The sequence below is a fragment of the Homo sapiens genome, chromosome 8 (genome assembly GCF_000001405.40).
Source record: "Homo sapiens chromosome 8, GRCh38.p14 Primary Assembly".
NCBI classification, from domain to species: domain Eukaryota; kingdom Metazoa; phylum Chordata; class Mammalia; order Primates; family Hominidae; genus Homo; species Homo sapiens.
In genome coordinates, this window is record NC_000008.11 from 72,700,232 (window position 1) to 72,716,710 (window position 16,479).

The 16,479-nt window shown below is 41.1% G+C and overlaps 1 protein-coding gene across 1 annotated transcript in view, besides 1 other annotated feature; it reads left to right on the plus strand.

Moving 5' to 3' along the window:
• The window catches only part of KCNB2 (potassium voltage-gated channel subfamily B member 2), a 401,125-nt gene that overhangs the window by 163,007 nt on the left and 221,639 nt on the right, over positions 1–16,479 (plus strand). The gene's annotated exons all lie outside the window — the stretch shown is intronic.
• Positions 12,703–12,877: a silencer, noted in NCBI's record as "fragment chr8:73625169-73625343 (GRCh37/hg19 assembly coordinates)". NCBI's record gives its function as "represses an EF-1alpha promoter that drives an FKBP-Casp9 reporter gene in an ReSE screen in phorbol 12-myristate 13-acetate-treated (for megakaryocytic differentiation) K562 erythroleukemia cells {active_cell/tissue: K562(+PMA)}" and the evidence as "EXISTENCE:reporter gene assay evidence [ECO:0000049][PMID:32094911]".

Consider the following 16,479-nt stretch of genomic DNA (forward strand, 5'->3'; position numbering starts at 1 on the left):
AATACCTAATGCATGCAGGTCTTAAAACCCAGATGATGAGTTGATAGGTGCAGCAAAACACCATGACACATGTGTACCTATCTAACAAACCTGCACGTTCTGCACATGTATCCCAGAACTTAAAGTAAAATTAATTAATTAATTAATTTAATTTAAAAAGTGAGTAAAAGACATGAACACACACTTCTTACAAGAAGACAGACAAGTGGCCAATAAACATATGAAAAAACGTTCAACATCACTAATCAGAGAAGACAAATCAAAACCACAATGAGATACCATCTCACACCAGTCAGATAGCTGTCAAAAAAATAAACAAATGACAAATGTTATTGGTCAAAAGTCAAAAAATGACAAATGCTGGCAAGGCTATAGAGAAAAGGGAACACTTATACACTGTTGGAGAGAATTTAAATTAGTTCAGCCTCTGCGGAAAGCAATTTGGAGATTTCTCAAAGTACTTAAAACAGAGCTACCATTTGACCCAGCATCCCATTTTTGGGTATATATCTAAAAGAAAAAAAATCATTCTACCAAGAAGACACATGTACTCACACATTCATTGTAACACTGTTTACTATAACAAAGATATGAAATCAACCCGAGTGTCCATCAGGGATTGGATAAAGAACATGTGGTACATATACACCATGGAAAACTACACAGCCATAAAAAAGAACAAAATCTCGTCCTTTGCAGCAACATATAGGTAGCTGGAGGCCATTACTCTAAGCAAATTAACCCAGGAACAAGAATACCACATGTTCTCACTGATAAGTGGGAGTTAAACATTTGGGTACCCATGAACGTAAAGATGACAACAATAGTCTCTAAAGACAACTAGAGGTGGGAGGGAGGGGAACAAGAGTTGAAAAACTAACTGTTGGGTGCTATGCTCATTACCTGGGTGATGGCATCAGTCGTACCCAAGTCTTAGCATCACACAGTATACCCATGAAATATACCTGCACAAGTACCCCCTGAGTCTAAAATAAAAGTTAAAATTATTTTTTAAAAAAAAGAGAGAAAATGACCACTTGAACACATTTCAAACCAAAACCAAACAGGCACTGTTGGTTACACATTTAAAATGTTATTTAACCATTTTCTTTACACTTAATAGTCAAGAAATTAACCAGTTACATAAAAGCAAGCACATCTCATAGCAGTGGACGTCATTTAATGACAAAGTTATCTATTCATAACACCATCCTCTAGCATCTTCATTGCCCTGCTTTCCACAACATGTTGATACTGCAGAGATGCAGTATGAGCTGTGGTATTTTACCTTACACCTGTCCCTTTATGTAGATTTTTTTAAAAACTTTCCTCTACTTCCATTTTTTTCATACTTTCTAGATTAGGAAAGAGGATAGGCTGGAGTAGGCAGAATTATCATTATCAATACTATTTTTAAGAAGTTATCCTAAGGAAATAATTATGCATGAGTTCAAGTGTACAGAGATTCAGGTATAAGGACATTAATTGAGGGTGATTATCATAGCAAAAAATGGGAAACATCTAAATGTCCAATAGTTGGGGGAATGGTTGAGTGATTTATGCAACACACATAAAAGGAAAAATTGCGCAACCATTTAAAATTATATGGACATATCATTATTTATTAAGTAGAAAAACTTACAAAGCAGTACTTTTTCATATAGAATAGATATGTAATATTGTACATTTGAACATCATGTATGTTATCCAAAACATTAACAATGATTATTTTTGAAAGATTAAGATTACAGGAAATTTTAGCTTTCTTCTTTTCAATTAGGTGTATTTTCTAAGTTATCTACAATGATTATCTTAACTTAGGAAAAAAAATACTTAGCAGAACACAGAACATCAGACAAATTCATCTTCATCTCTGTCACTGATAATGAAGCCAAAATCCCACCCCAGCACTATGTCACAACATGATCTTCTCAGAGGATGCACATACCAAAACATAAATTAACTTTCCTGGGTTCAAATTCTGTGCCAGCTCCTTTTTGAGGTTGGAGGAACTCGCTCAGCATTGCTCTCATTTCCAGCGAACTCAGTTTCTTCCCTACCCTCCGCTTGTCATTTTCCAGGGAACTCCCCACTGAGACCAAGACATAGAGGAGTTTCTGAACATGAGCAGCACTGCTCATCTTAACACCAAACAAATTGTGCCAGCAGTATGGAGTCTGTACCAGTATCCTAAAATTATAAACATGCTCTATAGGTGGCCTGGTTTTGTTTTCATTTTGTGTTATGTCCCCCAGAGTCTGGAAAATAGGACATGAAGTCAATTACTTTGCTAGTGGCCATTCAGAAAGCTTGGATTCCTTGCACATTGGAAAGGAGGGGAGGGCTGACCTTATCAGACCCAAACTGTCTCAGACCACCACTCTTGGAAGGAAAGAAATAATGTGGAAATATTGAACCATGATGTTCATATAATTCAAAAGTCAGCTTCCACCAGGAATCTGCTAGAAAAAAATAGTGGACTTGAGCTGTTAAATGTTGTGGTTTGTTTAAGGGAATCCTTTCAGCCTGGCTGACAGCTCTGGCAGGAAGTTGTGATGTGGAGCTGCTATTATACCTTAGAAGAGGCTCTGGAAGCAGCTGTGTCACCAGGTGTTAGGGGAGAATGCCAGGTGTCCTATGGATTTCCAGGGATCCACTCCCCGTGGCATGTCTTTCCATCTGCTTTCTGTGCACTGCGTCTGCACTACCCTTCTGCACAGTGACCTGGACCCACCTGCAGACTGACAAGGAGCATTAAGGGACCACTTCCGCAGCCCATTTCTATTAAGAAAGCTTTTAGGTTTGTTTTTCATCTTGCTGGAGCAACAATTGAGAGCTCTTATGTAAATATCAATGAATGCTTAATCAGAAGGCCAGCAACATCAGCGTATAGAAATTAAAGGCCTTTTCTTTTCCTAGCTATGCCATTTTCTCCATAATTCTAAGCTCAGTCTGGTGCAATTGGGAGGCAGGAGTTTAACCATCAGCTTACACAGAATGTTACAAACACTCCCACTATTGTGAGATAAGAGTAGCAAGGTTCAGCTTCTGGGAAGCCTCTCAAAGATGGAGATTGGCAGGCAGTAAGTGATTAGGAAGTGCCCCTGGACTCAACACCTGTGGGAGAACATAGAGGAGCACAGAGAGCTGGACTGGGCAGGGGAAGAAGTTGAACTTCAACATCACTGCCACAACCTCCAGCTGGTCTAGAGCTAGGGTGATCTTTCACAATTGTCAGCAGTTGGGGCAAGGGGCACTGGGCCTGTATACCTCTACACTGACCAGTCCTTGGGTACAGTGTGTCCCATGATCTTCGACCAAGTAGCTCTCTTCAGCCTCAGACAGTTCCCAGAGAGGGTCTCAGCTGAGAGCTGCTGGTTGCATGTACTTTCAGAATCAGAGAGGATGAGGGCTTCTGTGCCAAGGTCAGGGTAGGAGAGAAGCTGGGCCATGCCTTAGTGTCTACTATAAAGAATAGCTACTCCCCCACACAAAAAAATCTCACTGTAATAGGTGGCTAAAATAAAACCATGGGAGTAGCTCTGGGACAAGAGATGTGAAGTCATTGAATGCCATAAAAACAACTCATGAAAACGATGTGTGATTAGGAAGGAAGCACTGGACTGAAGGATATGTCATTCTTAGAGAGTTAATAATCCTTCCACGCATCATTCTATTAATTTCACTGTTAGTAGTATGTTGCCTTTGATTCTATGCTTAAAAATGTAAACATAGTAGATGAAGTTCACAGAACTAGAACCAAAGCTGATGTCTGCATTTGAGTTTTCAGTGTACAGTTTCCAGAGGGTAGTCATCCCACACGTAAATCTCACAGCTCAAAATTTATTCTTGGATAATGTCAGTGACCATGAAAAACAGATCTTTGCTGCTAGAGTTAATTGAGAGAGTTCAAGTCCCAATTATTTTATCAGTCATTTAGTCAGTGGCATTTATTGAGCAAATAACCTTTTATATAAAGGTTGTAGGGCACTACCAAAGTGGAATGGCATTAATGACTACTAACATTTGGCTCATTCTTCATTCTCTATAGAACATTTTAGCATAATTTTATCTCATTTAATGAGTTGTGTTAGTGTCCCAGTTTATAGATTAGGAAAGTGGAGTTCAGAAAAGCAAGTAACTTGCCCAAAATCAACTATTAAGGGCTATTATTACCCTAAAATTTTGCCAGGGGTCTTCCATCTGAAAGGAGTTACTGAAATGGCAAAACTATTACAGCTCTCTCGGAGATACTGTCAGAGAAAGCTGGTGTGTGTGTGTGTGTGTGTGTGTGTGTGTGTGTGTGTATTGGTGAAACAGCCAAGTAATCCTAGACAAAGGGCACAGATAAGATGAGCAGTGTGTCCCCAAAAGGACCTCAGCTTTCAGAGGGACTCTCCTACCTAGCACCAAAACTATGGAGTAGGCTTCAAGATAAATCAGGAGTTACTGTCTTGAGTGATCTCTTTAAAGATGAGGAATTTAGCAGTGACTCCAAATACAGTCATCCTTCAGTATGCACAGTACTTGATTCCAACCCTCCCTCTCCCTCCACAGGTAACAAAATCTGCAGATGCTCAAGTCCCTTATATGAAACAGCATAGTATTTGCATATAACCTATGCACACCCCCCTTATACTTTAAATCATCTCTAGATTCCTTATAATACCTAATACAATGTAAATGTTATGTAAACATGTCATACCATATTTTTTAATTTAATTTTTTATTGTATTGTTATTTTTCCTTGCTTTTTTCCCAAATATTTTTCATCTGTAGCTGGTTGAATCCTTGGATGCAGAACCCATGGGTACAGAGGGCTGACTGTATGAAGCTGTGGGAGGTAATAAAGCCTAGGGTGGTTTAAATCTTATTTAGCTCAGATGGACCCTCTCTTTCTGCATGAGTGAGTCCCTTTGACATCTTTTCTCACTTCCTCACTATGTTCTTCAGCTAATCATTTTTGGGGACTGAAGCTTGAGCTATTTACCAGTAGGGTGATTTGGCTGAAGATTTGTTATCCCTGGAACGTTTTTCTTGAGATGGCCCCTCTCTGTTGCATACAGGCTTAATAAAGTTGTCTAAGCCCACCTAGTTATCTTGTCCTGATTTTACATGCAGGAACCATCTCCCATCCATTAACTTCATCAAGGAATTCCCTCCCATACATGGTCCAATCCAGTTTATCTGATAGAATGTAAAGTCAGAGTAATGACAGATGACATTAGAAGGCATTTAAGCTAGATCTCACTCATGGAGAGAAGATTAATAACATTGGAGACACTCTGCCTGGGCAGAAGTAAATCTCACTGGCAGGTTGTGCAAGTGTCTGTAAAGATGGAAGTGAGGGAGGTGTTTTTCCAACCTGCTGTAAGTTTGGGTGTAGTGTAGTGGTAGGGTAGCTCAGTAGACAGGAGGAACTCACTCAAAATTTGTGGGCTGGTGGAGGAAGACAATCAAGCCAACTAAACCACAGCATCTGGAGAATATGGGTGTCCATGGATCTTAAGAGACACCAGAGTTGGTTTGTGTGACATGTGTAGCATGAGAATGAAGTGATTGTTACCAGGGTGTCTGATAGCAGATAATGGCACCCCAAGCACCCTCAATGGGAGAACTGAGAGTGCAAACAAGAGGCTCAGTTTGTAAAGACCTGAGGTGCTATGCAGGTTGTTCAGACAGGTTCAGACTTATAGAGACAAGAAGAGGACCAGGTTCCTGATTGTGCTACTATATGGAGAGTTGGTTACAGGACTAGGGCAGAAGGCCCATTCCTAGATCTGAGGCTCCTCTATTAGAAGGAGCCAACAGCAGACCTGGCTAGGGAGGGAAAGATGGCAAACAGCGACTCCCAGAGAAGGCCCCTCCAGGGCCAAGGCAAAACTGAAAGACTGTGAAGAAGCCTGCATCTGGTCAGCATAGAGTGCAGGTATCTGTTGAAATGAGTCTAAAACCCTTCTGAAGAAAGACTCTGATCCTTCCCTCCTCTCACTAAACTCAGCCAAAGTCCAGAGTTTCCACAATTAAAAATAATTGCTACAAATAATTGTAGCACTGTTCTAATAGCTAAATATTGATACTTGGTTATAGATCTGTTGATGGAAGTGCATCATGGATTTTGGCTCAGAGTGTTGGTTTCAAACCATCAAATACAACATTTTTAAAAAGTAAAAAAATATAAGTGTAGTCCACAGTGACCCATATTAAATAAAATGCCTTTTCTTTAAGGTGACTGTGAATTGTTCAGGCATCAGGATTGCTGTTTAATTTCCCCAGAAAGGTAAATTACCAGTTAGTGTCATGGTGCCAGGTTTTTCCTCATGCATATAGGCACAGGGATTTATAGCTTTTTACAAAACCATTTCTGGAGTCTTATTGTTTCTATCTATGCACACTGCTGTGCTGAACACTCCATGAGTTAGGAAAATAAACATGACTGGTCTTTTCATTGTCTCACATATAATAAAAAATATGCTGATAATTTTTGTGTACTATAAAATCCCCTTTGAAGAATAGGGATGGGCAAAGTTGCCACAAATTTCTTAAAAATAACAATTGGGCCTTATTGCTTTAAATCACATACTTCTCAAAAACATATTTCCAGAAATTAACCTGCTTTAACCTACCCACAGTCCCAGTCTCTGTTCATGAATCTGTTTGTTAAGGGTTTGTGCTGCTCATTGCCTGACTGGTTCTCTGCTGAATTGCTCTTCTGTTTTGCTGCCTACTTCCTGTGATCAGCTCTGGGACTTCTTTGTTAAATACCAACCTTGTACTCCACTCTGCATATTACCTTGTAAAAGTTGGTGCTTTCCAATTAGTACTTAATGGGATATGTAGGAACCACGAGAGGTTATTTAATCTCAAACCTTGCCTTCATAAGGCAGAAGTAAACCATCCCAGAGAGGTAAGAACCTGAATTACAAAGACATCCAGAGAAAGTAATTTCACAACTTTCCTTATAACCGACTTTAATGTTTAAAAAATAATAACCCTCACAAAAATAATAACCCTCACAGACAAAAAGTGGCTCTGCTTAAAATCTTTAATTTAGGTTCCTCATGCTGCAATTTAAATTCTTCTTGGGAGCCCAGAGAAGATGAAAAATAGTTGGTGGATGCCTTTATGTTCCAAAGGAACCTCCTAATTGTCCCCATATTTCGCTTCTCCTTTAACGACCTGATCATTGATCTGCAAGCATAGCTTTTTGTTTGGTTGGGTTCCTTGGGTCTTTTCTTTAATCTCCATTTCCACAGAGCCTCAAATGGAACAAAAGGAGGCATGGTGTGTCAGTGATATGAGCTAGACAGTATCAGAAGGCCTGACCCCACTCCCACAAACACATGCTTCAGGGGAGCATTCATCTCCACACATACGGAAGTCCTGCCAACATTCAACACCCATAAAGAGGCTATCCAGAACTCAAAAACGAAAAGTGGCACACTGTCTAAATAAGAAAACAGAACGTGAGTAAGGTTTAACGTTTTTCCTGCTCACAGTGTTGTTGCTGTTCTTTTCTAATTTTCCTAATCATCTAGATATGATTTGGGAAATACACACTTTTGCTTTCAAGGAAATCATCAATTAAGGTATCAGCCAGCAGGAAACAGACCACAGAACACATTCGCATTAGGGTAATTTGAGGGCAGTGCAAAAAAAGGGACCTTTTACAAAGGTGGAGAGGGAGAGGGGAGCCCCAAGAGGTGGTGTTTAGTTGCTCTCTTCCTACCCCAAGGCCTGAAGAGTTGAGGAAACCAGAACCCAGCCACAGAAGGACTGTGTATAGAGAGGCCCAGACAGGAGCTGAGACCTGGGGCCATGGAGGCATCCAGACCAATGTGACACCATAGCCCACTGCAGCCAGTCTCTCCCCAGCACACCCAGTGGCTAACCAACAGGATGCTGGAGTGCAAAGGAACCTGCTGCTGTGGTCCAGTCCAGGTAGCCTTCCAGGGCCAGAGCAAGATATCGGGAAGGGTGGGGAGAGAACTTGGGGAGCAAATGAAAGATTTCCAGCACAGATGGTAAGAAGAAATGTGGCTTCTTATGAGAATTTGTGTTCTCTATTTGGCTTAGTTTCTTTTTTTCTTTGGAAAGGACATTATTTCAACAGTGCAATTGTTGGACAAACAGCTAAGCGCTCGTGGAGGTGAATCTGCAATTTTGTTCTAATTTGCTGAGATCATCCAAAATGACTTATCCTAGTACAATAAGGAATCAATAGTTGACTATGGTCTGGAAGTTGCCATTGATTTCAGAGAATGCCATCTTCTGGTGCATTATCTTAGAGTGAATGCTTCTCTCATCAAGGGTTGAAACAAGCCTCAAATCTCCCTGCAAGCTTTTCTGTACCAGTGTTAATTATTCAGACATTTTACCCTTTAACAGTGGAAAGAGTGATTACTTTTCAGTCTTTGATTTCAGTATCTCCATGAGTCTGCCTGTTCCTCACTCCCCTCAGCCAAGAATCAAATGCAGACTTGTTTTATGTCAGTCTTGTGGTTAAATATCTTTCCTAGTTCCTACCTTTGAAACTCACAATAATGTCTTTTTGCCTCTATTTTTTCTTAATAATGGGAGCAATATGTTTCCAAAGTCTGACACAGTTTAAAGAATGAGAATCTGGCATAAGGTTATTCTTATTCCTATCCTATTTTTATCTGCAGCCTTAGTTACATGAGAGATTTTAGAAATCAAACTCTCTCCCAGGATCCCCTTTCTACCTTGTGGACATCAATAGCCAAACATGTAACTTGGCTATATATCCTGCCAGATTGTTAAGGAGTCACTAATAAAAAATGGCAGGCACTGAAAAAAGAGACACATCGTTCACCCTTTGATAATACTGCTCTAAGTACTAACATTATTTACTTCCCCTTTACATATTTTCATCAAGCAGCCAGCTGTTTGAGCCTAACCTCTTCAGTTAAATGTATCTAGAAGAACAGAAATAAGATTTTTTCTTCAGAAAGAAAAACAAAAGTAAAAGAAAAATCTCCCTAAGCTGTCTCTATCACTTTCTCTGTGAAACAAAAAATTTTTAAATTTACATTGGCATGTGGTAAGGACAAGAGAAGATTCTCAAAACAAAATTTCTAACTGTGAAATTTGGCTAGCCTTCTGTATTAGACCATTTTTGCATCACTATAAAGGTATACCTGAGACTGGGTAATTTATGAAGAAAGAGATTTAATTGGCTCACAGTCCTGCAGGCTGTACAGGAAGCACGGTGCCGGCATCTGCTTGGCTTCTAGGGAGGCCTAGGGGAATTTTTGCTCATGGCAGAAGGTGAAGCGGGAGCAGGTGTGTCACATGGCAAGAAAGAGAGTGAGAAAATGAGAGGAGAGATGCCATACACTTTTAAATAACCAGATTACTCTTCAACTAACTGAGTGAGAACTCACTTATCACCTCAAGGAGATGGTGCTAAGCCATTCATGAGGGATCCACCCCGCTGATCCAGTCACCTCCCACCAGGCCCCACCTGCAGCCCTGGGGATTACATTTCAACATGAGAGTTGGAGGGGACAAACATCCAAACCATATCACCTTCTTAAATAACCAGATTCTTGCAGTCTCCAAGCTTTCTTGTCAAGCATGGCTCTGTTTCATGATAATGAAGCCACTAAGTTACTATGTACCCGAATGTACAGATGTTTCTTCCAAAGATGCTTCTTAGAGCTGAGTGGTTGCACAGTCATGGGAAATGCCTGGCCTGATCCTGAATGAAGCTGTAAAGTAGGGGCTGTTGACTTTGTCACCTCCTGCATTTTCAGTAACCCATACCCCAGGTGTCCATGGCCTTCAGTCTGCACTTCCCAGTCCGGGGAGCCTATTGAACCACTCCCCATCATCCATCAAGACATCGTTATCCTGCGTGCCCATGTTCTCAGGACCATGTTAGCTGGCAGATATTTTAGGGAAATAAGGAATAAATTTTCAACCATCCATGAGTGAGCTATTTAAATTTTATAAGGGCTTCTCAGAGACCCTAACACAAAGGAACATTGGTGTTTTAAGGGCAGTTATGCCATCTGGGCCCCTTCAAATCACATGCCAAAAGATGTGGCTAATACTTTGCAATTCTACTTTATTTCTCATATATCATCTCTTTCAAATCATATAATAATCCCCAAATAGGAAACTAATACTTGAAAATGATAAATACTTCAACTAAAGACACCAATTAGAGCCAAAAATGAGGCCTTAGTTATCGTGCATGCTCTGCATATATATATATATATAAAACTAAAGAAGGGTATGTGTGTTTGCGTATGTGTGTGTTGAGGAAGAGCAAAAACTAAAGGAAAAGTGGATAGGAAGAGCAAGCAGGCCCATGTACCTCAGTAATGGCAACAGTCAGCCTCACACTGAGCTGACTTACCAGTGGCCTGGCTACAGTATCCCGGACCCAATCACATAGTGAAACTACCCAGGACTCTTCAGTATGGCCAGAGATGCTGTATTATGTATTACGTTACCTCCTTGGTTAGATACAAAGAAAAATTTCTTAAGATGTTATTAAACCTCCAAATATACTTCTGAAAATCTCTAGATACTTTAGAAAGAAATTTAAATTTCATCTTAAAATGAAAGTACAGGTTTTCCTCAATGGGAAACAATGGATTAGAAGGCCTCTCAAGGCTATTTAAGTGGATGGAGAAGTCAGAGTGCTATTTCCTCTTTATTCGTTCATCAATATTATGAACTTCATCGATCAACATAGGCTAAGTTATGCTAGTGACAAACAATACCAAAATCCCGGCAGTCTGTGATGGCAAGGATTTGTTTCTTGCTCTTGTGTCCATCAATGATGCTGAGCAGAGGGGCTCTTCTGAGCATCGCTCTCACTGCAGGACCCTGACTGATGGAGCGCCAGTATCTAGAAAGTTGCTGATTCTCATGGCAGAGGAAAAGACAGCTGAATAAGGTCTTGGACTGACAATTGATTACTCTGGACCAGAAGTGGTACCTTTTGCTTCCACACAAAACTACTTGGCCAGAGCATCTGCATAGCCCAACACAACCATGGGCAGGCCAGGAAGTGCAATACTGCCATGTGCCCAGGTGGCAAATACTCCCAAGAGCCAGAAGTATCTGTGAGCAGCACTCGTGACTCCCATGCCATGCCTGCATGCGCCAGGCCTCCTACAAGGTCCAGGCTCACTGTCTCTCCCGCTGTGGCCTGTGCATTCACACTGAAGAGTCTATCTATAAACTGGGAACTTCAGTAACATTTAATAAGGTCTGCAATAAAGGATACACAAGAGCATATAGGAGGGAAACCCTTGCTCATTTTTCAAGATTCACAGGAGGCCTTTTAGAGAACATAATATTATATTTATGATGTACCCTAGAGGATGAATAGCCAGGCAAAGACAAAGATGGTGCACAGGGTTCCTGACAGAGGGCACAGCATGTCCAGAGGCCAAACACCGGGATCTTGAGGGGACCATTTAAAAAGTTAATTAACTTGGGACAGGCACGGTGGCTTACGCCTGTAATCCCAGCACTTTGGGAGGCCAAGGTGGGCGGCATTTGAGGTCAGGAGTTCAAGACCAGCCTGACCAACATGATGAAACCCCATCTCTACTAAAAATACCAAAAAATATTAGCCAGGCTTGGTTGCAGGCACCTGTAATCCCAGCTACTCAGGAGGATGAGACAGGAGAATCTCTCAAACTTGAGAGGCAGAGGCTGCAGTGAGCTGAGATCACACCACTGCACTCTAGCCTGGGCGACATAGCAAGACTCCATCTCAAGAAAAAGAAAAAGTGAATTAACTTGCCTTCTGTCCTAATGGATTACTTATTTAATATGTTACTTATTCTAAATGTATGCTCAAATATCCTTTTAATTTGCCTTCATTTAATGATGACCACTTTCTATAAAAGAAAAAGCACATAATTGGTAATAGATATTTTATCTTGTAGACTCATATGAGCAAGCTCAGTGTAGAAAGAGAAGGCAATGAGGTGATAGGAAGAGAGGAAAGGAAAAGGGAGAGAAGAAGGAGCATATTTTTAAGGACATGCCAGGTGCCACATCAGGCTGTAAGGCCTACCCCCAGTCTTACTGGTGGAATAGATAGTAGTGTCTTACTCACAGGTTCCTATTTCACTGGAAGGTTTCTTACCCTCTTTTATCTTATGATATGCTTTTTGTTTTGAAGAAAGTTGGCCTGGTGGCATAATTCAGAAGGCCAAACTCCTCTATGGGCTGGTCCTGTGACCTGGGCTAACTTTTAGTTGGATAATGTGGTTTTCTTTGGTAACAATTATGTAACAGGAGCTATCACTGACTGGATGCTTATTAAATGCCACAGTCAGTGGTCCAAGCTTTACATGTGTTATAGTTTAATGTGCTTCAATATTCTTACATTTAATAACGACTTTGTCATAAAGTTATTCATTTTGACAATAAATCTTTAAGGTGAGTATTGTTGGCTCTTGAGCCAAGATGGCCGGATAGGAACAGCTCCAGTCTACAGCTCCCAGCATGAGCAACACAGAAGACAGGTGATTTCTGCATTTCCAACTGAGGTACTGGGTTCATCTCACTGAGGAGTGCTGGGCAGTGGGTTCAGGACAGTGGGTGTAGTGCACTGTGCATGAGCCAAAGCAGGGCGAGGCATCACCTCACCTGGGAAGTGCAAGGGGTCAGGGAATTCCCTTCCTAGTCAAAGAAAGGGGTGACAGACGGCACCTGGAAAATTGGGTCACTCCCACCCTAATACTGCACAATTCCAACGGGCTTAACAAATGGCACACCAGGAGATTATATCCCACACATGGCTTGGAGGGTCCTACGCCCACGGAGCCTCACTCGTTGCTAGCACAGCAGTCTGAGATAAAGCTGCAAGGCGGCAGCAAGGCTGGGGGAGGGGCGCCCGCCATTGCCCAGGCTTGAGTCGGTAAACAAAGTGGCCAGGAAGCTCAAACTGGGTGGGGCCCACCAAAGATCAAGGAGGCCTGCTTGCCTCTGTAGGCTCCACCTCTGGGGGCAGGGCACAGACAAACAAAAGACAGCAATAACCTCTGCAGACTTAAATGTCCCTGTCTGACAGCTTTGAAGAGAATAGTGGTTCTCCCAGCACGCAGCTTGAGATCTGAGAACGGGCAGACTGCCTCTTCAAGTGGGTCCCTGACCCCCAAGTACCCTAACTGGGAGGCACCCCCCACTAGGGGCCAACTGACACCTCACACGGCCAGGTACTCCTCTGAGACAAAACTTCCAGAGAAACGATCAGGCAGCAGCATTTGCGGTTCACCAATATCCACTGTTCTGCAGCCACCACTGCTGATACCCAGGAAAACAGGGTCTGGAGTGGACCTCCAGCAAACTCCAACAGACGTGCAGCTGAGGGTCCTGACTGTTAGAAGGAAAACTAACAAACAGAAAGGACATCCACACCAAAAACCCCTCTGTACATCACCATCATCAAAGACCAAAGGTAGATAAAACCGCAAAGATGGGGAAAAAACAGAGCAGAAAAACCAGAAACTCTAAAAATCAGAGTGCCTCTCCTCCTCCAAAGGAACGCAGCTCCTCACCAGCAATGGAACAAAGCTGGATGGAGAATGACTTTAACAACTTGAGAGAAGAAGGCTTCAGGAGATCAAACTACTCCGAGCTAAAGGAGGAAGTTCGAAACAATGGCAAAGAAGTTAAAAACTTTGAAAAAAAATTAGATGAATGAATAACTAGAATAACCAATGCAGAGAAGTCCTTCAAGGACCTGATGGAGCTGAAAACCACAGCACAAGAACTACATGATGAATGCACAAGCCTCAGTAACCGATGCAATCAACTGGAAGAAATTGTATCAGCAATGGAAGACGAAATGAATGAAATGAAGCGTGAAGAAAAGTTTAGAGAAAAAAGAATGAAAAGGAACAAACAAAGCCTCCAAGAAATATGGGACTATGTGAAAAGACCAAATCTACGTCTGATTGGTGTACCTGAAAGTGATGGGGAGAATGAAACCAACTTGGAAAACACTCTGCAGGATATTATCCAGGAGAACTTCCCCAATCTAGCAAGGCAGGCCAACATTCAAATTCAGGAAATACAGAGAATGCCACAAAGATACTCCTCGAGAAGAGCAACTCCAAGACACATAATTGTCAGATTCACCAAAGTTGAAATGAAGGAAAAAATATTAAGGGCAGACAGAGAGAAAGGTCAGGTTACCCACAAAGGGAAGCCCATCAGACTACCAGCGGATCTCTCAGCAGAAACTCTACAAGCCAGAAGAGAGTGGGGGCCAATATTCAACATTCTTAAAGAAAAGAATTTTCAACCCAGAATTTCATATCCAGCCAAATTAAGCTTCATAAGTGAAGGAGAAATAAAATACTTTACAGACAAGCAAATGCTGAGAGATTTTGTCACCACCAGGCCTGCCCTACGAGAGCTCCTGAAGTAAGCACTAAACATGGAAAGGAACAACCGGTACCAGCCACTGTAAAAACATGCCAAATTGTAAAGACCATCAAGGCTAGGAAGAAACTGCATCAACTAACAAGCAAAATAACCAGCTAACATCATAATGACAGGATCAAATTCACACATAACAATACTAACCTTAAATGTAAATGGGCTAAATGCTCCAATTAAAAGGCACAGACTGGCAAATTGGATAAAGAGTCAAGACCCATCAGTGTGCTGTATTCAGGAAACCCATCTCACGTGCAGAGACACACATAGGCTCAAAATAAAGGGATGGAGGAAGATCTACCAAGCAAATGGAAAACATAAAAAGGCAGGGGTTGCAATCCTAGTCTCGGATAAAACAGACTTTAAACCAACAAAGATCAAAAGAGACAAAGAAGGCCATTACATAATGGTAAAGGGATCAATTCAACAAGAAGAACTAACTATCCTAAATATATATGCACCCAATACAGGAGCACGCAGATTCGTAAAGCAAGTCCTTAGTGACCTACAAAGAGACTTAGACTCCCACACAATAATAATGGGAGACTTTAATACCCCACTGTCAACATTACACAGATCAACGAGACAGAACGTTAACAAGGATATCCAGGAATTGAACTCGGCTCTGCACCAAGCAGACCTAATAGACATTTACAGAACTGTCCACCCCAAATCAACAGAATCTACATTCTTTTCAGCACCACACCACACCTATTCCAAAATTGACCACATAATTGGAAGTAAAGCACTCCTCAGCAAATGTAAAAGAACAGAAATTATAACAAACTGTCTCTCAGACCACAGTGCAATCAAACTAGAACTCAGGATTAAGAAACTCACTCAAAACCGCTCAACTACATGGAAACTGAACAACCTGCTCCTGAATGACTACTGGGTACCTAACGAAATGAAGGCAGAAATAAAGATGTTCTTTGAAACCAACGAGAACAAAGACACAACATACCAGAATCTCTGGGACACAATCAAAGCAGCGTGTAGAGGGAAATTTATAGCACTAAGTGCCCACAAGAGAAAGCAGGAAAGATCTAAAATTGACATCCTAACATCACAATTAAAAGAACTAGAGAAGCAAGAGCAAACACATTCAAAAGCTAGCAGAAGGCAAGAAATAACTAAGATCAGAGCAGAACTGAAGGAGACAGAGACACAAAAAACCTTTCAAAAAATCAATGAATCCAGGAGCTGGTTTTTTGAAAAGATCATCAAAATTGATAGACTGCTAGCAAGACTAATAAAGAAGAAAAGAGAGAAGAATCAAATAGATGCAATAAAAAATGACAAAGGGGATATCACCACCGATCCCACAGAAATACAAACTACCATCAGAGAATACTATAAACATCTCTACGCAAATAAACTAGAAAATCTAGAAGAAATGGATAAATTCCTTGACACATACACCCTCCCAAGACTAAACAAGGAAGAAACTGAATCTCTGAATAGACCAATAACAGGCTCTGAAATTGAGGCAATAATTAATAGCTTAGCAACCAAAAAAAGTCCAGGACCAGATGGATTCACAGCCGAATTCTACCAGAGGTACAAGGAGGAACTGGTACCATTCCTTCTGAAACTATTCCAATCAATAGAAAAACAGGGAATCCTCCCTAACTCATTTTATGAGGCCAGCATCATCCTGATACCAAAGCCTGGCAGAGACACGACAAAAAAAGAGAATTTTAGACCAATATCTTTGATGAACATTGATGCAAAAATCCTCAATAAAATATTGGCAAGCCGAATCCAGCAACCCATCAAAAAGCTTATCCACCATGATCAAGTGGGCTTCATCCCTGGGATGCATGGCTGGTTCAACATACGCAAATCAATAAACGTAATCCAGCCTATAAACAGAACCAAAGACAAAAACCACATGATTATCTCAATAGATGCAGAAAAGGCCTTTAACAAAATTCAACAACACTTCATGCTAAAAACTCTCAATAAATTAGGTATTGATGGGACGTATCTCAAAATAATAAGAGCTATCTATGACAAACCCACAGCCAATATCATACT